The 24,227-nt window shown below is 37.5% G+C and overlaps 1 protein-coding gene and 1 long non-coding RNA gene across 8 annotated transcripts in view; both read left to right on the top strand.

Moving 5' to 3' along the window:
* Positions 1-9,532, top strand: part of LOC101928961 (uncharacterized) — a 118,044-nt gene extending 108,512 nt beyond the window's left edge. Inside the window, exons 6-7 of the long non-coding RNA NR_111911.1 lie at positions 6,513-6,712; positions 9,140-9,532. This is a non-coding gene — a long non-coding RNA (uncharacterized LOC101928961). The remainder of the gene's footprint in view (positions 1-6,512; positions 6,713-9,139) is intronic.
* CTNNA3 (catenin alpha 3) overlaps positions 1-24,227 on the top strand; it is a 1,851,072-nt gene that overhangs the window by 859,953 nt on the left and 966,892 nt on the right. The gene's annotated exons all lie outside the window — the stretch shown is intronic.

The raw sequence follows: 24,227 nt of genomic DNA, 5'->3' as shown, positions 1-24,227 counted from the left end.
GCTGAGACAAGGGGGTTTTCTAAATATATAATCATGTCATCTGCAAACAGGGACAATTTGACTTCCTCTTTTCCTAACTGAATACCCTTTATTTCGTTCTCTTGCCTAATTGTCCTGGCCAGAACTTCCAACACTATGTTGAATAGGAGTGGTGAGAGAGGGCATCCTTTTCTTATGCCGGTTTTCAAAGGGAATGCTTCCAGTTTTTGTCCATTCGGTATGATATTGGCTGTGGGTTTGTCATAAATAGCTCCTATTATTCTGAGATACATTCCATCAATACCTAGTTTATTGAGAGTTTTTAGCAGGAAGGGCTATTGAATTTTGTCGAAGGCCTTTTCTGCATCTATTCAGATAATTGTATGTTTTTTGTCGTTGGTTCTGTTTATGTGATGGATTATGTTTACTGATTTGTGTATGTTGAACCAGCCTTGAATCTCAGGGATGAAGCTGACTTGATCATGGTGGATAAGCTTTTTGATGTGCTGCTGGATTCGGTTTGCCAGTATTTTATTGAGGATTTTTGCATCGGTGTTCTTCAGGGATATTGGTCTAAAATTCTCTTTTTTTGTTGTGTGTCTGCCAGGCTTTGGTATCAGTATGATGCTGGCCTCATAAAATGGGTTAGGGAGGATTCCCTCTTTTTCTATTGATTGGAATAGTTTCAGAAGGAATGGTATCAGCTCCTCTTTGTACTTCGGGTAGAATTCATCTGTGAATCTGTCTGGTCCTGGACTTTTTTCGTTGGTATGCTATTAATTATTGCCACAATTTCAGAACCTCTTATTGGTCTATTCAGAGATTTAACTTCTTCCTAGTTTAGTCTTGGGAGGGTGTATGTGTCCAGCAATTTATCCATTTCTTCTAGATTTTCTAGTTTATTTGCATAGAGGTGTTATAGTATTCTCTGGTAGTTTGTATTTCTGTGGGATCGGTGGTGATATCCATTTTATCGTTTTGTATTGCATCTATTTGATTCTTCTCTCTTTTCTTCTTTATTTGTCTTGCTAGTGGTCTATCAATTTTGTTGATCTTTTCAAAAAACCAGCTCCTGGATTCATTGATTTTTTGAAGTGTTTTTTTGTGTCTCTATCTCCTTCAGTTCTGCTCTGATCTTAGTTATTTTTAGCCTTCTGCTAGCTTTTGAATTTGTTTGCTCTTGCTTCTCTGGTTCTTTTAATTGTGATGTTAGGGTGTCGATTTTGTATCTTTCTTGCTTTCTCTTGTGGGCATTTAGTGCTATAAATTTCCATCTACATACTGCTTTAAATATGTCCCAAAATTCTGGTACATTGTGTCTTTGTTCTCACTGGTTTTAAAGAACATCTTTATTTCTGCCTTCATTTCGTTATTTACCCAGTAGTCATTCAGGAGCAGGTTGCTCAGTTTCCATGTAGCTGTGTGGTTTTGAGTGAGTTTCTTAACCCTGAGTTCTAATTTGATTGCACTGTGGTCTGAGAGACAGTTTGTTGTGATTTCTGTTCTTTTACATTTGCTGAGGAGTGTTTTACTTCCAATCATGTGGTCAGTTTTATAATAAGTGCAATGTGGTGCTGAGAAGAATGTATATTGTGTTGATTTGGGGTGGAGAGTTCTGTAGATGTCTAATAGGTCCGCTTGGGGGTACAGAGCTGAGTTCAAACCATGAATATCCTTGTTAGCCTTCTGTCTCATTGATCTGTCTAATATTGACAGTGGTGTGTTAAAGTCTCTCATTATTATTGTGTGGGAGTCTAAGTCTCTTTGTAGGTCTCTACAGACTTGCTTTATGAATCTGGGTGCTCCTGTATTGGGTGCATACATATTTAGCATAGTTAGCTCTTCTTGTTGAATTGATCCCTTTACCATTATGTAATGGCCTTCTTTGTCTCTTTTGATCTTTGTTGGTTTAAAGTCTGTTTTATCAGAGACTAGGATTGCAACCCCTGCTTTTTTTTGGCTTTCCATTTGCTTGGTAGATCTTCCTCCATCCCTTTATTTTGAGCCTATGTGTGTCTCTGCACATGAGGTGGGTCTCCTGAATACAGCACACTGATGGGTCTTGACTCTTTATCCAATTTGCCAGTCTGTGTCTTTTAATTAGGGCATTTAACCCATTTACATTTAAGGTTAATTTTGTTATGTGTGAATTTGATCCTGTCATTATGATGTTAGCTGGTTATTTTACCTGTTAATTGATGTGGTTTCTTCATAGCATCTATGGTCTTTAGAATTTGGCATGTTTTTGCAGTGGCTGGTACCAGTTGTTCCTTTCCATGTTTAGTGCTTCCTTCAGGAGCTCTTGTAAGGCAGACCTGGTGGTGACAAAATCTCTCAGCATTTGCTTATCTGTAAACGATTTTATTTCCCCTTCACTTATGAATGGTAGTTTGTCTTGATATGAAATTCTGTGTTGAAAATTCTTTTCTTTAAATGTTGAATATTGGCCCCCACTCTCTTCTGGCTTGTAGAGTTTCTGCTGAGAGATCCGCTGTTAGTTTGATGGGCTTCCTTTTGTGGGTAACCCGACCTTTCTCTCTGGCTGCCCTTAACATTTTTTCTTTTATTTCAACCTTGGTGAATCTGACAAGTATGTGTCTTGCAGTTGCTCTTCTCGAGGAGTATCTTTGTGGTGTTCTCTGTATTTCCTGAATGTGAATGTTGGCCTGCTTTGCTAGACTGGGGAAGTTCTCCTGCATAATATCCTGAAGAGTGTTTTCTAATTTGGTTCCATTCTCCGTGTCACTTTCAGGTACACCAATCAGATGTAGATTTGGTCTTTTCACATAGTCCCATATTTCTTGGAGACTTTGTTCATTTCTTTTTACTCTTTTTTCTCTAATCTTGTCTTCTTGCTTTATTTCATTAATTTGATCTTCAATCACTGATATCCCTTCTTCCACTTGATCGAATTGGCTACTGAAGCTTGTGCCTGTGTCATGAAGTTCTCATGCCATGGTTTTCAGCTCCATCAGGCCATTGAAGGTCTTCTCTACACTGTTTATTCTAGTTAGCCATTCATCTAACCTTTTTTCAAGGTTTTTTTTCTAATCCTTCCCATGGGTTAGAACATGCTCTTTTAGCTCAGAGAAGTTTGTTATTACCGACTTTCTGAAGCCTACTTCTGTCAACTTGTCAAAGTCATTCTCCGTCCAGCTTTCTTCCATTGCTGGCGAGGAGCTGTGATCCTCTGGGGGAGAAGAGGCACTCTGTTTTTTTGAAATTTTCTGCTTTTCTGTTCTGGTTTCTCCCCATCTTTGTGGTTTTATCTACCTTTGGTCTTTGACATTGGTGACCTGCAGATGGGGTTTTATTGGGGATGTCCTTTTTGTTGATGTTGATGCTATTCCTTTCTGTTTGTTAGTTTTCCTTGTAACAGTCAGGCCCCTCAGCTGCAGGTCTGTTGGAGTTTGCTGGAGGTCCACTCCAGCCCCTTTTGCCTGGGTTTCACCAGTGGAGGCTGCAGAACAGCAAGTATTGCAGAACAGAAAATATTACTGCCTGATCCTTCCTCTGGAAGCTTTGTCCCAGAGGGGCAGCCACTTGCATGAGTTGTCTGTCGGCCCCTACTGGGAGGTGCCTCCCAGTCAGGCTACACAGAGTCAGGGATCCACTTGAGGGGGCCGTCTGTTTGTTCTCAGAGCTCAAACACTGTGCTGGGAGAACCCCTGCTCTCTTCAGAGCTGTCACACAGGGGCCTTTAAGTCTGAAGTTGTCTGCTGCCTTTTGTTGAGCTATGCCCTGCCCACAAAGGTGGAGTCTATAGAGGCAGTAGGCCTTGTTGAGCTGCGGTGGGCTCCGCTCAGTTTGAGCTTCCTGGCTGCTTTGTTTACCTACTCAAGCCTCAGCAGTGGCAGATGCTTCTCCCCCTGCCAGGCTGCAGCCTGGCAGGTTGATCTCAGACTGCTGTGCTAGCAGTGAGCAAGGCTCTATGGGCGTGGTACCTGCTGAGCCAGACATGGGAGGGAATCGCCTGGTCTGCCGGTTGCTAAGACCATTGAAAAGCACAGTATTTGGGGGGAAGTGTACCGTTTTTCCCGGTACAGTCTGTCATGGCTTCCCTTGTCTAGAAAAGGGAAATCCTCCGAACCCTTGCACTTCCTGGGTGAGGCAATGCCCCGCCCTACTTTGGCTCACCCTCCGTGGGCTGCACCCACTGTCCAACCAGTCCCAATGAGATGAACTAGGTACCTCAGTTGGAAATGCAGGTCTGCGTCGATCTTGCTAGGAGCTTCCGACCGGAGCTGTTCCTATTTGGCCATCTTGGAAACGACCATCTTGATTTCAGTTCTTTTGAATATATTCCCAGAAGTGGGATTGCTTGGTCATGTGGTAATTCTGTTTTTATTTTTTGAGGAAACTCCATACTGTTTTCCACAAAAGCTGTGTCATTTTACATTCTCATTAACAGTGGACAAAGGTTCCAGGTTCTCCATATCTTTGCTGACATTTGAGTTGTTGTTGTATTTTTCTATAATAGCCATCCTAGCAGGTGTGTGGCGATAACTCATAATTTTGATTTGCATTTCCCTTATAGTTAGTGAAGTTACTGTTTGATATAACCTGTTTGCCATGTTTATGTGTTCTTTGAAGAAATGTCTATTGAAGTCCTTTGCCCATTTTTAATTGGATAATTTAGTTTTCTGCTGTTGAATTGTAGGGGTTCCTCATATATTTTGGATATTAATCTCTTATCAGATATGTGATTTGTAAATATTTTCTCTCATTCCATAGATTACCTTTTCATTCTGTTTATTGTTTTCTTTGCAGTGCAGAAGCTTTTAAGCCTGATGTAGTCCCAGTCATCTAATTTTGCTTTTGTTGCATGAGCTTCTGGTATCATATCCAAGAGATCATTGCCCCATTGCCAAGCTCAGTGTCATGAAACTTTCCCATTATATTTTCTTCTAGGAGTTTTACATTGCCAGATTTTACATGTAAATCTGTAATCTATTTTGAGTTGATTTTTGTGTCTAGTGTGTGGTAAGTTAGTGTGAGGTAAGGATCCAGTTTTGTTCTTTGCATGTGGATATCCAGTTTCCTCAACATTATTTGTTGAAGATGCTATCTTTCCTCATTGTGTATTTTTTGGCACTCATGTTAAGTATATGTGTGTGGTATTATTTCTGGATGCTCTATTCTGTTCCATTGGTCTGTCTGTTTTTTGTTTGTTTGCTTGTTTGTTGCCAGCACCATACTGTTTTGACTATTGTAGCTTTGTAGTATATTTTGAAGTCAGGAAATATGATGCCTCAATCTTTGTTCTTCTCTCTCAAAATTGCTTTAGCTTTACAGATACTTTGTAGTTCCATATGAATTTTAGGATTTTTATTCTGAAATCCCTGATTCTACAAAGAACAACCTTACTATATTATGTGTGTATTTATATTGAGTCACATTTTGTACAGAGAAGGCAGAAATAATGCAAGCTACTCTCTCTAATGATAAGTGATTGGTTCTCTAAAATTCCGTAGATATGACCATTGAGTTGTTTTTAAATGTCATTATGACTGCATAGATTTTGTGATATTTGGTATTTTTCAATCCATTGCAGTTATTGTTCCTTATGATGTTCAGTTTATCTCATTTGCCAATAGGAATTCTTTCACTTTTGCTCCTGAGTCCTTTTGATATGATTCCACTAGTCATTAGCACATTTTCACTTTCTGGTAGGACAAATTAGCCTCTTCTCTTATATTTTCTGACCTGACCAGGACATAACCATATCAATAAGGCACCTTGGTTCCTTTTGTATCCACAGTCCAGGTACTGGAAATGTTCATTTCTCACTTAGTCACTGTTTCTAGGTCTTTTCTGAAGAGAAGTTTTGAAAGAGAAATATTTTGCATGTTTATGTTGATATTTTTATACTTCTAATTTAAGTTTGAGTTTATAGGTTTTTGTTTTCAATTTTAATTCATATGTTTATCTCTTTTCTCTTAAACTAAAAGTGTTAGTTTTATATGATTCTATATATGCAACAATTTAATAGTATTCTAAGAGTAACTCATATTATTAACAATTTGATGAATAAAAATGATTTAAGATTTCCTTGCATTTTTCATTGTCCTTAGAAAATACCCACCAGGAGTATACAATCAAGTTATTGGTTTTTGCCTTTTAAAATAATTTGTTGTTGGTTAAACTACCAATCCATACACAGTTATATTCCCTTTTTAAATTTTCTTTTAATTTTTATGAATTACTGTTTTACTTTGAATTAATTTTGTTTAATAATTATTTGAAACATTTTCATGTTTCCAAAGTCAAAACCTCAAAGTAAAGCACATTTGGAGAAGTGTAACTTATCTTGTTTGCTTTACTTTGTCCCTTTTCTTCCCATGGATATCCCCACTTTTATTAATTTTTGGTTTAAAATATATATATGTACACACATACACACACACATCTTTATATTTTCCTATATATATAAAAGGTAGCATACTGTATATGCTTAAACACTTTGCTTATTTTCATAGGAATAATATATTATAACAATATTTAGTAATATTTCTCATTTTTTTCACACAAAGCAGACATTTTAAGCATGAGACCTATCAGGATTCAGGATGGGTAATCTCATTCATTCATTCAATAAACTTTTGCTGAGAACTCAATAAAAGTAGGGGTGATGTTCTTGGATACTAAGATTAATACACCACAGCTTCTGTCAGAATGGAGCTTCAGATGCAGTAGCAGAGAATTCACTTAAAGCAAGGATTGCTCCTCAATGGTAAGGACTAATGGAGGTGAGCATGGGGTGCTACTGCAGGAGCGCAACAAGGAACACAAAACTCAAGACTGAGAGGCCTTGAGCCGACTCCTACAGAATGGTCAGAAGTTAACCAGGTTAAAGGTAGAAACAGGAAGGTTCAGGAAGAGGGAAAGGCATACAAGAAGTCCCATGGATGATGAAATGAGAGCATGGACGCTAGCAAGAGGAGGCTAGAGAAACAGATGAGGAAGGCCGTGACTGGTGAAGTCCTTGTACTATGGGTGTGGCCTGGAAGATTCTCACTGGCCCAGAAAGGGAAAAAAAGGAACCTTTTAGGCAGGAGTTAGGTTTTATAAAAACCACTCTTCATTCAGTTATTTACCAGCATTATTTAAGAAATGATCTGTAGTCCATGTTACTGTCAGTCAGGTTCTTAAATATCAGAACACAGCCTGTTGGATACACCATAAAATTTGCAGCCTTTAATAAAATATCATTATTAGTGTAAATAAACAAAAACAAACAAAGCTGTGGCCCAATTATCCATCATCTGGCTAACCACACCCCCTAAACTTGTTATGTAATCTAGAAATATGAAAGAAACAAAATATGAATTCTGTTTTATAGAGTCCATTAGCCTACTTAAATAACAGAGTTATAGCTATTTAGGCCTAGAAGGAAGGATATATTCAGTTGTAAGGCACAAGAAAGTCATGGCACTCTTTGTGGAGCACCATGCAGTATTTACCTTTGAATTTTAGAATAAATATCAGATCTTGTGCTAAACTTGTTCCTATTGTATGCATTGTTTATGGCAACTATTTTATTTTATTTTATTTTATATTTTTTTGAGATGAAGTTTAACTCTTGTTGCCCAGGCTGGAGTGCAATGGCGCAATCTCGGCTCACCACAACCTCCACCTCCTGGGTTCAAGCAATTCTCCTGCCTTAGCCTCCCAAGTAGCTTGGATTACAGGCATGTGCCACCATGCCCAGCTAATTCTGTGTGTTCTTTTTTTTTTTTTTTTTTTTTGTAGAGACAGGTTTTCTCCATGTTGGTCAGGCTGGTCTCGAACTTCTGACCTCAGGTTATCCTCCCACCTTGGCCTCCCAAAGTGCTGGGATTATAGGCGTGAGCCACCATGCCTGGCCCAACTATTGTTTATGTGATGCTTAGGTCTGTACTGTTCTAGTGCTTTATGTGTATTACTTCCATTAATCCTCCTGGCTTCTTTATAAAGAAGCACTTGTATTATCCTCATTTTATAAACGAGGAAAACTGAGGCATAAAGAAATGGACTGTATCAATTATAGGTGGTGAATGGTAGGGATTCACATGTAGGCAGTCTGACTCCAGGGTGGGTGCTGTTAATTGTAATAGCATACCATGTCTCTCTCCTGGAATATAAAAGAAAGAAAGAAGCTGAAAGATAATAAAGGTGAAGATAATATGTGAAAGAACATTTTATATTAAGAAATTTTTAATATTAACATTTTCCCGCTTAATGAACAAATCTTTCTTGATTTTACTGATAATCCATTTTTGATCTACTTCATAAAAGTTTGAGTACTCTTAAAGGCATTGGTTGAAGATCCATTGATACCCAATGTTTGACGGATGAGGTACCTGCAGTCTTGCAAGATATAGTGACACAGCTGGTTTGTAACAAAAAGACTGCAATTCATGCCTCCTGTCTCACACAATAAAGTGTGAGAATTGGGGCATAGCTTTTGGGACTTTGAGACCCAATGTAACCAGAGGTCACTCCGAAAGGATTATATTTAGTTCTAGACCCTTCTATGCTCTAGAGAAGTGAAAGATGGAATTGAGGATGCATCTTCTTCAGGGGCTACATTTCCAAGTAGGACACTTTCTTTTTTTTTTTTTTTTTTGTTTATTTGTTTCACTTTTTCTCTATAGCTCTCGCCAATGGCACAATTATATATAAATATATATAATTTATTGTGAATTTCTTCATTTTTCAATATTGAAAATGCTCTGATCATTTTCTAAACTTCTTGCAAATGAAACGCCTACTATATATACACATAAATTACAGTATTAGTATCTACAAAGACTTGCTTCAAGGGAAACAAGATTTTTTGATTTGGTGCCACAGCTAATTGGTTTTAATTATGCATAAATAAAGCCCAAACTGCATAGTTCTATGTCTTTCCTTTCTTTGTTGAGCTTGTTGTGCTTTGAAAAAATCTACAATGTAATCAGTGATACGTATTATCAGAAATATAATTGCAAATGTCTTAATTAAAATATACATTCACACAAATATGAGGAATAAGAAAATTAATTTTTCAGTAAGTATATAGACTCCTATACTAAAATGTTTTATTATTTTTTTAACATCCGGTTACAAAAATATTTTGTTTATACTATATTAAGTTGCCCTTATTTTATATCTTTAAGTTCTTTCTTTTGTCTTTTAGATAACTTTTAAAATCTTCTCAATGAAGAAACAAGCTTGAGTCAGATATTTTGTAACATTTTGACATATTTAAGAGAAAGGAAGAGAGAGGGAAGCTTGTAAAATAAAGGCTTATATAAGAAGACATAAGAACAAGCAACTTAAAGAAACAGAAAATCAGGGTTCTGGATAGACTTTAGAGTGATAAAGTGGATAGAATATGGTTTCCGGTATTGTTCCCTGTCATGAGTTCTGTTCAAACTCCTTTACCTGTAAAACTCTGCTCAAGTTATTAACCATCTCTGCAACTCAGCTTTCTTTTTTTTAATTATAAAAATTAACGTGTATAAATTACTTCTGAAGTTGTTTTGAGAACATGTGACACCATCTAATAAATTCATGGATAAACACCTAATTAATATTTTTGTTTTATTTGTATATATTTTGTTAGACACATGATTTAAGGTAACATGCAATAACTTTTTTCTTTCTGTTATGATTTATTCTCCAAAAATAAATTTGTAGATGATACCAGTTGATTCAGAGAATTTTAAAAATACATATATTAAACACCTATTGCTTTTCTTACAGCATTAGATACAAAAAACATAAGGATGAGAAAAATTGTGCTGCTATTGCAAAGAACTTGTAAACTTTTTCTGCTGACCTCTGGCAGAAGGACTTCCTTGGACTCAGTCTTGATTATCTGTGTTCTTTTAGGTAGTATCCACGACAAATCAAAAGGACTTAGTATGTAGCCAGAATAATTTGAGTATTTCATTCAGTACTGAAAAGATTCATCTTGCATTGAATTTGAGTACATTAGGTTTCCCTCATATTTTCCCCCCATTGATTTGCTGGACAGAGTAAACAATTCTCTAATCTTATCTTGTAAATCTTACTTTTCTTAGTCTTTGTCATCAACACTCATAAGTAGCTAGTAAGTGCAAGTCACTGTAATTAAATGGGTTTTTTTTTTTTTGAAATTCTGTTGTTTACAATATTCTCTTGGCCTGTCTCCCCTAGAAAGTTTGTACCTTAATCTATGCTTTAGACTGAGTTTATTGAATTTCTTTTATTGGCAATTCTCTGGTTGTTAGAGACATTACACATAATTATTTAGATCCTTCTAGAAGAACTCAGAGGGCCAAAATTAAACATTCTTGTTAAGACAGCTTCTCTCTGGGGATCACTTGTTAGTTTATTTAGTTATTCTTTTATGTAAGCGGTTAATCAGTGCAAGCAATGAAAAGGTATAGGGCATCTTGGCTGCTTTCTGCATTTCAAAATATTTTTGATGTCTTTTCAGATCTCCCTATAGAGAGCTTTGTAATGCTTTTCTGCAACAGAGAACTGCATGCACGGACCCAAGGGTCAAACCTTTTCTAATGTAAATTTAATGCCATGGCTTCGTGAGCTAAGATCATTTATAAATATAAAACTCACAGAAGAGCAGATTCATCTGTTACCATGTATAGTAACATCTCAAAGAGACAACTAAACATGACAGTTGAGGGGATTTGCAAGTGAAAGAGAAAAACATGAGCAGAGTTGAGAGCCATATAATTATGCTCATTCACACTGTGACTAGTTTTAAAGTGATTTATTCAAAATGGTTACCAGTGTACTCTTAGTCACCTTCTTTCTTGACTATGTGCTAATTCTGATTTTGGCATTTGTCTATAGAATATACTTGTTCTTCCTCTTGAAAGGGAATTGTGCTACATTTTCGTAGTGTTTAAATCAGTTGATCATATTTCACAATTATTCCATAACGTTAGTTATTTGAATTTCAAGTTGCAGTGTTCTTAGAGAAAGCTTAATATCTTCATTATACATACAGTCATGGCTAGCTAATTAGCATCATGAATGCTGAAGTTTAACCCTGGATGCCACTATTTCTGACTTCAAGAATATATTGGATTTTTTCACTTTAAAAAGTTTAGAAGGAAAAATATCATTGTTGAATTCTACTTCTTGGTTATTTCAAATAGGAAGCCCCCTGTAAAAGTGTCCAGACTTACTATAAATGCATTATAGTTCTCATCTATTGGTTTATAAATAAAAGCATCCTTGAACGTTTTCCAAAAGAGTAATGCGATTTACAATATAGTTAATGAAAATTAAGCTATATTGGTTTTCCGGGAGGGAAATTGCACTACATAATTAATTTTAAAAATCACTGTTTATTTATTCAGTTTATTGGGAAACAAGAAACAGATTCAAAATAATGAAGCTAAAGGAACACATTGCATTTTGACATCGTCCGTAATTAAAAGTTCAGTGTTTTGGAGGCAATTTCGTTTTGTTTGTGCCGCCATTTTAGTTGCCATTGTACTTAAAGCTTTCCTTCTCCTTTCTTATATAGGGGTTCTCAGCTTTTAAATAAAAGATGTAAAGGAATTATGGTTATTTCTGTTTTCAGAATAAGTGTCTAAAATTTTAATAATTTTAACATTTTTGTTTTGGTTTTTTATTTAGTGATTATTATACAATAGGCAAAACCATAGATCAGTATAAATAAGACAGGTAAAGTGATTTGCACAAGGTTACATGTTTGGCAATGGCAGACTAAAATGCGGCTTCTAGATATCCAGTCTAGTGTTTTTTCCCTTATCTGAACTTATGGTGCCTTGTGATTCCTTGATTTGTTAAATTTCAGAAAATAGGCATTAAGAGATTTCTAGCCCAGACAGGAATGGTACAGGAATGGTAACTTCTTTATTTGAGTGGTGACTTAGGCTAAGCTTTATATACATACAATCACACTCTACATTTGTAAAACATTCCGTAGTTTTAAAAAGTCTCTCTCATTCTCTCGTTTCCAACTTATCTTTCCCTCTCTTTCTTTCTTGCTTTCACTGTTTCAGAAAGTGAGAACTTTCTCTGAAATCTACATACAAGAAAATAAAATGAAATCATGGAAAAGGTACAGAAGCAGCTTATGACATCTACAAGGGAAATGGCTAGTTTTTTTAGGATAAAACAAATTGACTGATTATCCTTACAGTGAAGACAAAGTTTGAAGTTTTTCAGAATGTGATTAAAAATGATGAATGATATAATCAAAATATCCTTCAAAATTCTGTTTTAGAAATTTGTGTAAAAGTTTGACTTTCTTTGAATGAGGCCTTCCATAGTGAGAGTTGCTTTATGAGAGCTATCAGACCCTCATCATGAACTTAAATTGACTTAGACTGATTTCTACGGAAATGCCTAACCTGCATTTCTTTCAATTTCCCTTCATCTTTTCAATGTCTTCCAAGCTGTATGATTCACCTTAATATGTAAAAATAAAGTAAAATATATTTGTTTCTACATAATGGTCTCTATATTAACATCTTTGATGCACAATTGAAATAAAAGCTCAAATAGAAATACTGATTACAGTGGGGTAAATAGCTTACCAGAATTATTCTTATCTGGTCCTAAGATTTGGATTGGAGATATGGTAATACTTCCACTCACAAGTCCATGAGGAAAAGATGGGAGGGGAAGGGTTGGAGTTTTAATATGAACTATACCTTAGGTTGGAGATGAGCCTGGGGACTGGCCAGAGGTCTCTTCTAGAATTGAGGTGGGTGGGGCACACAAATGGCTCTTATCCTGCCCCTGCTCCTTCTCTCTGTGCTCTGAATTTCACACCTTGACTCCTTCAAAGGGCTTTACTTCAGTCCTTCAGTGGTGGCATCGTCCCTGCATCACCATTCTCTCTCTCCCTACTAAATCATTCCTAATAGTTCACCAAGATTTTTCAAAATCTTTCTTCTTAAAAAGAGAATAATCTAAAGCCTTCTCTTGGACCTTCCTTAAACCACAACTGCTCATCTCCGTTCTTTCTATACTAACCTTTTTGATGTTTTGTCGGTATCCATCAATGCTAATTCCTCATACACCATTCACTCTTCAACCCACTTCAATCTCTTTTTACTCCCATTGCACCCTTCAAATTGTTCTTGTTGAAGATCTCCATGCTACCAAATCTACTGTCCTGCTTTGCCTTAATCTTACCCCATCTCTCACCAGTATCAATACAATTGCCTACTTTCTCTGTTGAACCACTCTCCTTTCTTGCCCTCCTAGCCATCATGCACTTAAAAGAAATGTTTTCATGTTCTCCTCCTTCTTTGCTACTATTTTTTTTTTTTTGATTCTGAAATCTTTGAATGCCTCAGAGCCTCTCCTCTTTTCCTACGTTCACTTGCATACTTCTCTACTTAGGTAATATTATTCCGTTCCATGAGCCTGAAACCACCTGTAGGTTGATGATTCTCAAGTTTATATTAACTGCCAAGCCTTCAACCCTGAGCTCCAGATTTATTCATTTATCTATCTATTCTGCATCTCCACTGAGATGTCTAAAGGTTGTTTCAAACCTTACATGTCCAAAATGGAAATTTTGCTTTCCAAATTATCACTTAAATCTGTGGTTCCGGCCGGGTGCGGTGGCTCATGCCTGTAATCCCAGCACTTTGGGAAGCCAAGGCGGGTGGATCACTTGAGGTCAGGAGTTCAAGACCAGCCTAGCCAACATGGTGAAACCCCATTTCTACTAAAAATACAAAAATTAGCTGGGCGTGGTGGCGTGAGCCTGTAATCCCAACTACTTGGGAGGCTGAGGCAGGAGAATCGCTGGAACCCCGGAGGCAGGGGCTGCAGTGAGCCAATATTGCACCACTGCACTCCAGCCTTGGGGACAGAGCAAGACTCTGTCTCAAAAAAAAAAAAAAAAAAGGTCTGTGGTTCCCCTGATCTTCCCCATCTCTCTCAGCTTTTCTTCTTCTCAAGCCAAAAACACAAAAGCCCTTTTTGATTTCTCCCTCTCGTTCACTTATTTCATACCTTATGCATCATAAAATCTTATAGTTCTGCCTCTAAAATTCAGCTCCAATCTTGCTGTTTCTTATTCTTGCAAGTACCTGCTACCCTACACATACAATCCACTTAGGAGCCACGGTCATCTTTTTTTCTTTTTTTAATAGACTTTATTTTTTAGATTAATTATAAGTTCACAGCAAAATCGAATGGAAGATAGATTTACCACATACACACTGCACTCACATAGGCACAGCCTCCCCCATTGCCAACATCCCTACCAGAGTGGTACACTTGTTACAATTGCTGAACCTATATTGACATATCACCCAGAGCCCACAGTTTACATTAGTAGTAACTCCTGGTGTTGTACACTCTGTGGGTTTGGACAAATTTACAATGACATGTATCTACCATTACAGTATCATACCGAGTAGTGTTACTGCTCTAAGAATCTTCTGTGTCCCACCTATTCATCCCTCTCTCCTACCCAAGCTCTGGCATCTGCTGGATGTATTTATAGTTTTACTGCCTTCATAATTTTGTATTTCCAAGAACGTTATAGTTGGAATCATACAGTATGAAGCCTTTTCAGGTTGCCTTCTTTCACTTAGTAATATGCATTTAAGTTTCTTCCATGTCTTTTCATGGCTGGATAGCTCATTTCATTTAGCACTGAATAATATTCCATTGTCTGGATATACCCCAGTTTATTTATCTATTTGCTAAGTGAAGGACAGCTTGGTTGCTTCCAGATTTTGGCAAGTATAAATGAAGTTGCTATACACATCCGTGTGTAGGTTTTAGTGTAGACATAAGTTTTCAACTCCTTTGGGGCAAATACCAAGGATCGCAGTAGCTGGATTGTATGGTGAGAGTATGTATAATTTCGTTAAAGTGTCAAACTGTTCTCCAAAGTGGCTGTACCATTTTGTATCCCCAGCAGCAATGAATGAGAGTTCCTGTTGTTTCATATCCTTGCCAGCATTTGGTGTTATAGTGTTTTGGATTTTAACCATTCTAATAGGTGTGTAGTGGTATCTTGTTTTAATTTGCATTTCTCTATGAGGTTGTGAAGCATCTTTTCCACAGTAATCTTTTAGGAAAATCATTTTCCTCCTTAATATTTGTTATTTTTTCCCCATTGCTTAAAAAAAAAAAATGAAAAACTACCATGACCTGAAAGGCCTGCATGATCTGGTACCTGTATAGCTTAGTCATCTAGGTGTATCTTGTTGCTATAACAAATTACCACAACCTAGTGGCTTAAAACAACACACATTTATTTTCTCATAGTTCGGTATGTCAGAAGTTCAGCATGGACATCACTAGGCTAGAATCAATGTGTCAGGAGGGCTGGCTTCCTTTCTGGAGGTTCCAGGGGAGAATCTGTTTCCTTACTCTTAAAGTGTTTACAGAATTCAGTTCCAAGTGGTTGTGGGACTGATGTCTTTATTTCCTTGCTGGGTGACATCCAGGCCACTCTCAGCTTCTTGAGGCCTTTATCTAGTCCTTGCACATGGGCCACTACAGCTCAGAACCAGCAATAAGCCATCTTATACACTTCAGGCTGTTGCCTCTCTGACCACTCTTCTATAGTCACATCTTTCTCTGACCACAGCCTGGGAAGCGTCTCCACTTTTAAGAACTCCCATGATCAAAATGGGCCCTCTATATAACCCAGGGTAATTTTCTCTCTTTGTGTCTATACCATTAGTCACATCTGCACAGTCCTTTTGGTATGAATTTAAAGATTCCTGCAGACATGAGCATCTCTGGAGGGCTGTTATTCTGCCTAGCACACATCTCACGTAACCTTGAACTCCAGCCTCCAGGGAGAGTAACCTCCTTCCTGTCCTCAAATCTGCAAAGCACTCCACTACCTCAGAGAATTTGCATTTCCTGGGCCTTCCTCCTAGGATCTTTTCCTCTGGTTCTGTGCATGACAGCTGACTTAGTTAGGGATGGTTCTAAAAGTAAGTCAGATTAAACCCATAGGGATTCAGGGAGTTGAAGTTACAAAGATTTGGGGATGACAGAAGCTATAGACAAAAGATTCAGTCTGACAAGTATGATAGTAATAACTTTACTCACTCCTATCTGTTTGGGCTGTTGGTCTCTAGTTCTCGGGTACATTGGCCCTGATGAATTGTTAAGGTTGGAGAAAGTTTTGGACACATTTTTTTTTTCCTGCAACTGACATTCACTCTTGCTTTGCAGATAAGAAAATAATTACGTAAGAGTTTAACAAAAGTAATCATGAAACTTCATTTTTTCATTGTTTTTCTTCTCTAATACTAGACTTTTTCTTTTAGCATAAAGAGTTAGTAGGCTAGTGATATTTTGAAACTGAATCACATACTCAAAGAAAGAGGGCATTACTACTGAGAAAGAGTGAGAGCATCATTCATCTTTTGGATACCAGTTTGTTTTAAAGTGTATATTGCTGAGTTGCTAAGGATTTTTTCCCAAATAATAATGAGCTCCTAATTGTTAGTCTTTATCTGTTTGCATGGAGAGTGAGCAAATATATATTGTATAACTGTTAACTAGCAAACCAGTAGAGCATATAGAATGAAGCAAGTGGTGTGACAGCTCTCCTGGTGTGATGAAACTCCACAGACATCCATCACCTCATGTTTGAAGATACAGCACAGTTCTTAGAAATGCCATTGCTATTTACAACTCAACATTAGTTTGAGACTGGTAAATCAATCAGTCAATCAAAATCTCTCCCTTTAAAACAGTACCATTTTTCTAATAAAGACAAACAAATTGGCCTCAGGATTGATTTGGAGTTTGATGGACTGAAGAAAAAAAAGCTTTTCTCCATTTATATTCTGAGAAATGTAAGCCTTGCATTTAATTCTGTTGCTTCACACTGAGTAAGGAAAATGGTGTATCTCAGGACATGTTCTGACGTAATAACAATGAAATGGGCCAGTCTGAAATGGGGTAAGAACTGGAATTCAGGAAACGGGATGCAGGTATGGAATGGGATTAGACATGAGACAGAATTCCAGCCTTTCTGGAAAAATCTAGCTCCTGTCAACTAGCACTTGTTAAGGCTATTGATTGGCTGAGGATGTTGGCAGAACAGTGAATTAGATGGTCCTGGAGGTAGAATTCATAACATGTCGATGGAAAATCTATGAGCAGATAACAGTGAAAAGCAGAACTTTATGAGTCCTTGGAGGTAAGCATGTAGGCAGAATGAGGGAGTACCCTGTTTCTGAGGGTCTAAAGCATGCAGTTCAACATAAGGGTCCCAGTATCAGGGATGTGATGAAGGCAGACATTGGGATTGGAGACAGAGTGAAGATACCTGAATACAAAACCACAGGACCATTAGGTTGATTTCATGCTCAGTCACAGATCATGGAGCCAGAGCTTCTTTAGTCTATCCTGCCTGAGGTCACAAATGGGTTTCTCGCAATAAGAGACCAGGTCTGTTGAGCTTATAAGTGGGCTCAGGACCCCAGTCACAGGGTTATTGAAAAATGATTCCAGAGCATTCTCCAAAATTTATGGCACTCCTATTTATTTATTTTACTAATTTTTCTCTCATTTGCCACTCTAATCCTACTTTTAAACCCATTTTTATCCCTTTCTCTTCTCTCCTTTGGTTCTTGGCAAAAGGACTTAGAGGCTATGAGGTTATGGCGGCAGTAAGGAAAATATTGCAACAAAGGGAACCATTTTGGGAAGTCCTGACATAGACATTTCTATACATTTTTGAAAGGGGATATTTTACAAATAATTATCAAATGAAGAAAGTTGGTTGGGCAGTTATCCAGTTGGGCAGAGATTGGATTATCAGTAACTGGTGTGATAAATTCATTTTCTTAAAGAAACAAAGGCCTTTTATAGCATTAACTGCAATGCCAGAGGTGTGTTACAAAGAATTTTCTCAAATTATTTTCTTATTTTTCTTTCTATTATCCTTTATTCAGCAGGAGTTTATTTTATTTTTCATCTTTCTTATGATTTTTAAGATATGTACTGAATGCACAAGAGGGCTAAAATACAACCTTATCTTGGTCTAGAGACTTGCCACCCAGCTGGTAGTTTTATTGTAAGAACAGTTACCTGGGGAGGTGATTTACTGGTAAGAATAAAGGTAGTATATCCTATTATCTTCCCAGTGTTTCTCTAACAGACTCATTAGAGCATGGTATATGGAATTCAGTGGGGACTTGAGTTCTGAATCTGGACATTCCCTAACTGAAACCCTAAATAAGGAAGAGCGAATAATGGAATCTCAAAGATCTATATCTGCAGGAGGATATGGTTGCTCATTAAGATATAAATACCATTTTGATGTAAGATAAATAGGCAAAGGGATATTACATATAACTCTTAGCCTCACATTAATACAGTCCATATTAATAACATCATACTCTCACAAAAAACCTTATTGAACTATGTAAAATAGCAAAAGGACTTTAAAAGTCCTGCTGAATATCATATGTCCAAATAAGACTACTTCTGAATCCACAACTATTACAGAAACAAGCTTTGCTGCAAATGATTTTGACTTTCCTGACTTATCTTTCCACACGATGAGGGATGTCTTTTGATTCTCTCTGATACAGTAGTCTCATCTTGCCAGTGAGTAAATTGTAAATTACTTGACTTTGGATGATGCATTATTGCTTCAGGTTCTTGGGTGCCCTTTGATACATCACATACAGTGCTGTCAAGCTATGTAATAACCTGGGAAAATGAATTTACCCTCAAATCAGTATTTCTTTCCTTTGCAAAAGAGCTATTGTAAATAACTTATGACCCTCCTTGCTCTTACTTTACCCCAACCCCTTCTCATATCTTATGACTTGCCTACTACCACACGGGTATCCCCTGGGTGTTCAGGATTGCCCAAACTCTAATGCATCATTGAATCACATAATCTTGACCTTTTGTTATCTTCCTCCCTCTGTTTCTTGCCCCTCTGTATTGGTTATCTATTGCAATGTAACAGATTGCACTGAAACTTAGTAACTTCAAATAACATATTTATTATCTCACAGTTTCTGTGAGATAGGAATTCTGAAGCAACTTAGCTCTGGTTCTGGGTCAGGATCTCTCAGGAAGTTGCTGTCAAGACATTGACTGGGGCTGTGTTTATGTGAAGTGTTGACTGGGACTGGAAGATCTGCTTCCAAGATGGCTCATTCACATGGTTGTTGGCAGGAGGCCCCAGTCCTTTGTCACATGGGTCTCCCCATGGGGTTTGTGAAATATCCTTTTGATAGGCCAGCTGGCTTTTCCCAGAGTGAGTGATACCTTTTATCACCTAGGCTTGAAAATCATACAATTCCTCCATATTCTCTTCATTGGTAGCAAGTGACTAAATACAGCTCACACACACACGGAAGAAAATTAAGCTCCACTCTTGAAGGGAGGTGCATCAAATAATTGATGTGCATATTTTAAAACCACCTGCTATGGTTTCGGTGTTTTTTCCCCTTTAAACTTCATATGAAATTTGATCCTTAGTGTTGGAGGTGGGACCTAATAGGAAGTATTTGGATCATGGAGGCAGATCTCTCATGAATAGATTAATGCCCTTCCTCACTCTATTAGTTTCCATTAGAGCTAGTTGTTAAAAAGAGCCTGGCACCTCCCCCTCTCTCATGCTTCCTCTTTCACCATGTGATTTCTGCCTATGCAAGCTCCCCTTCACCTTCTGCCATAAGTGGAAGCAACCTGAGGCCTTCACCAGATGCAGATGCCCAGTCTTGAACTTTCAAGCCTTCAGAATCATGAGTCAAATAAACTTTTTTTAAAAAAATAAATTACTCAGCCTCAGATACTCCTTTTTAGCAACACATAATGAACTAAGACACCACCATATCTTACATACTCCACCCTTGCCTTCAATTCATCTCTCTCACATCTTCTGACCTCAGCTGATGATATAACTGCTAACTAAACTAAAATAATTAGGAGTAGTTGTGTTAAAATATTTAACTCCTTTGGGCAACATAGTATAAAAATGAAAAAAGAGCAGGCAGCCATTTTATATCCTAGCTCTGCCATTTAATAATTAAGGACTTTGGGAAAATTATTTAACTTTTATAACACTCACTTTAATCAACCATAATATGGGCATTTTGGTATCTACCTTGCAGGATGTAATGCAGAGCAGAGGTCATACATGTAAGGCACTGAAGACAGCATTTTAGGTGCAACAGGTGTGTGATAATTTGTAGTTGTAATAACAATAACACTTAATTATTACTGTAGGCTTTGCATTATATCTGGGACTTCTGGTGACCTTGGCATAACTTTCTAAATGGTAGGAATCACTGTGGCAGATGGATGTGAAGTGACATTTTTATCAGAGCTCTCCTCAGTCCAAAGACTTGCTTTCTTCCCCCACTCAGCCTGTCCTTCCATGATCTCTGCCCTGAGGCTTCAGTACATCTTAGTGAAAATGTCAGTCCACGTAAGGTCCTGGATCTGAGCACTCGCTGTACCACCTATGAGCTGGTGGCCTTAGGCAAACTTTCCAAGCTTTGTAAGTCATCTTTTCTCATACATATATTTAGGAATACTTATTTCTTTCTTGCAGTACAGTGAATCAACATTGTCTCTACAACTGATACTTCATTCTTTTGTTCAAGGCAGTAGTTCTAAAACATGGCTGTACGTTGCAATCTCCAGGAGCTCTTAAAAAATTCCTGAGGCCTGGTCCCACCCCAGAGATTCTGATTTAATTGATCTAGGGGCCAGATGGTGCCCACACATCTGGGGTTTTTAAAAACCTCCTAGGTATTCCTAATATGTTAAGAACTGCTTATTAGATTAATAATTTTATCTCCTATAACAGTTGTGAAAGCAATTAGGCCAAAGTTAAAATAGTCTAAATACAATTATTTACATCCTATGTTTCCATGCTTTTGTGCTTTCATCTTTTTCCCCTTGATAAATTATTTCACTTCTCTCAATATATATTTGACTCATTTGTTCTGTAGCTTCTAATTTTATTATTCTTGCTTTGCTCAAACCCCAAACTCTCCTTTGTGCTGTTATATATTCTACTTTTTGAAGCAATAAGAAAGGAATAAGCAAGTACAGATTCACAGTGTTGCTTTTAAGTAGAATATTCTTCCAGTAGGAGAAATGATACCATGTTGCTTTGGTGGAAGTATGTAAGCATCTTTCATGCTCTGTAAGAACCGTCAATGCATGGTGCCATTGGCACACTGGACTGTGTATTGGCAATGGTGCACATAGCAGATGGGGTTGAGTGTAGGCAGTCAAGTGTTCAAGCTCTGTCTCTGAATTGACTAATGGTTTTGATGGCCGAAATTCAAGGCCAAAAGCACTGGGATGCCAGTCTTTGTGTTGTATTGAGTGTCTGCAATTAAAGCTATGGGACTGTTCCCTTTCTGCTCTAACTCAAATTTAATTAATTTTGAATTAAAACAAATAGTTTCCATGACCACATGAGGTACATTTTGGGTTTGCCTGATCAGGATTAGTGTAATGAAGTCTCCACCCTTTCGTTATCCCCCACCAAAGACCCCTAAGAACCTGATTTAAAATGCTATCCAAAGTGGCATGTTGCTGCTAAATATTTTGATATGTATAGGGCATTTTCATGTCCATGTCCTATGTAGAGAATCTGTAGGTGTCCTCTTGGAAAATGCCAGTGACCTAATGTAGCATAGAATCAGCATGTGTATTTGGCACTCCTCCACAACTCGAGAAGGTCATTTGTTAAGGCTTTCTGAACTATTTCAGGCTAGGTCCTGGTCTAAAATAAAGATATAGTATAAAATTTAGTTTGCAGTTTGAAGTTTGTCATCGTACATTACCTGGTTATTGTTCTCAGAATTAGCTCTATTAGTTAAAGAAAAGCTCAGTCCTAGTGTATCATGAATTTAGTTTCCAAGATTATGAATTTAGTTTCCATGTGAGTTATTTAGCTTTATTCTATTGCATTATCACAGATTGCTCTTTTAATCCTGCTGGAGGCTTTGTGAGCATCTTCTCTTTTGAAAAAGAGAGTTGCTGATCAGTGTCATTGCAGCCACCTTACTAGAATATTGTAAAGCCTATACCCAAGGGCCCACACCCAAGAATGACAACAGCACATTAGATGACAAGCACCACAAATCTAAAGTTATTATTTATTTGAATATGTTTCTGGGTACAGATGAAGTGCTCTTAGCTTCTAGTAGAATCATGTTATATGGTGTGAGTCCTCAATTGATCACTGAAGCCAAGGCCTTTGTAGGCTGAATTTTTGTGAGGTTGTCCACTGTGATAAGAATAATCCAGCACACAGGGTATTCAGCTACATCATGACAGAGGACACAGCTCTGCTAGCTTTTGCCTAAATAAATTGCACTCAATTACTCATAGACTTTATAGATTGTATATAATTGCTTGTTTGTTCTGCATTTTCTATGTTGGAAGACCATTTAACTCAGATTATTTGGCTTTGTGTGTGAACACCAGTGCATTATCTTGAGTAATGTTGGAACTGAGTTCATATAAACTGTTTCTTATGTTGTTTTCATCCTGTTTCCTTCCTTTTAGAGACTCCAAGAGTAGAAACATCCATGGGTACTGGAATTGGGCAATTAGAATGATTTGGAAAAACCTGCCAGTAGGTCACCCAGGATGCTGCCTGATAGTGTCTGACAGCTGACGTAGAGTGTGAACTGAGTGGCAGGATGAAACTCTGCTTGCTTAATTCAACATTCTCCATGGCTAGCCCTGTGCTGACACATGCAGATGAATGTCTTATAGCATTTTCCTTCTTATCTACTTTAATTCTATTATTATATAGTTAGAAAACTGAAAGAACTTCCTAAGAGTTGTAAGGCTGTAACTTCAGGGTTACGTGTAGTTCTACTTAGCTTCCAATTTAGCATTTTAGGAAAACTGCTATTATGCAAACGGCTGCCATTTGCTATGAGCAAAAGAAATTCTGAATTTTGTCAAAGACTTAATTAATATTATGATTAAAAAACCCACAGTTAATCTAATGAAACACAAATGGAGAAAAAAAGTGTCATTGCTTTCATTGCCTAGCAGGTATTCTCTAAATGTGATGTGTTAGTGCCATTTTTTAAGTCACTGGCAAATTCTAGCTGCTGTCTATTTTTAGTTTTATTTCCAAGACTAGGGTCATCAAAGTCCCTGAGCACAGCTATAAATTCTGACACAGTTATCTTTGTATTAGTAGGAAGAGATTAGGCTATGTTTGAGTAACAGACCCTGAAACATTAATAGCTGAACATACACAAGTCTAGTTTTTGCTCGTGCAAAGTCAGCTGCCTGTCCATCAGCTCTCCAGGGTAGCTCTCTTTATGCAGTGACTTGGGGAATACACTCTGATACCATCTTGTGGCTCTTTACTCTTAAATGTGGCTTTTAGTTCCCTATGACATGGAAAAGAAAGAGACCTAAAGAGCTTGTACCTACTTTTTTCTTATAGCTCATAGTCCAGAGCTAACTAGGGAATGTGTGTCCAGGTAGATGAGGATGAAAGGGGACCTGATAAACACAGAGCATTATCACAACCATACTTTCAGTTCATTCTCTTCACTTTCCTTCCCTGGACTTCATCACTTCATGTTCAATTACCTGCAGTTGTCTCCATACTGTCTTCCTGGTTTTGTTCTCTGACATCTATAGTACATTCTGAACGTTGCTGCCAGAACAATCTTCTTTAAACACTGGTTTATATCAGTTCTTTGCTGCAACATCTTCAACCTTCCTTCCTCCAGCATTGATTATGTATACTCTCTACATTTCCCAGTATGTGTCAGGTAAGACTTTATTGTTTGGCTCCAGGCTACATTTCTAAGCTTATCCCTATGCATCTATCTCCAACATGAACACTCAACTTCAATTCCCAATTCCAGCATTAAACTCATGCTTTTCTAAACATGCGTTGCCCAGGTCTACCTCTGCATCATAATTTTCACTCTGCCTTCTGTCTCTATCTATTCCTGAGTGTTCCCAGTACAAGAGTCCAAGATAATTGCTCTATCTCTGTTGTATGCTCATTCTATCTATTATTTGTGTCATTCAGCTGGCATTCCTGACTCTTATCATTACTTAACTCTTCATGGGTATTTGTCTTATCTCTTCTACTAGGTCACTTGCAGAACAGGTGCTATATATACTCTTGTACATCCCAAAGATCTCTGGAAGATGCTAAATACACAGTAGTGTGTGGTAAGATTTATTGAGAATAGATGCCTGAATGATTGACTAGGTATTCTTAATTTGCTTTATACGATCCATAGACTTTGGTTCCTTATAAAGTT

This window comes from Homo sapiens, chromosome 10 (genome assembly GCF_000001405.40).
Source record: "Homo sapiens chromosome 10, GRCh38.p14 Primary Assembly".
NCBI lineage: Eukaryota > Metazoa > Chordata > Mammalia > Primates > Hominidae > Homo > Homo sapiens.
This window is presented reverse-complemented; position numbering and strand designations above follow the sequence as displayed.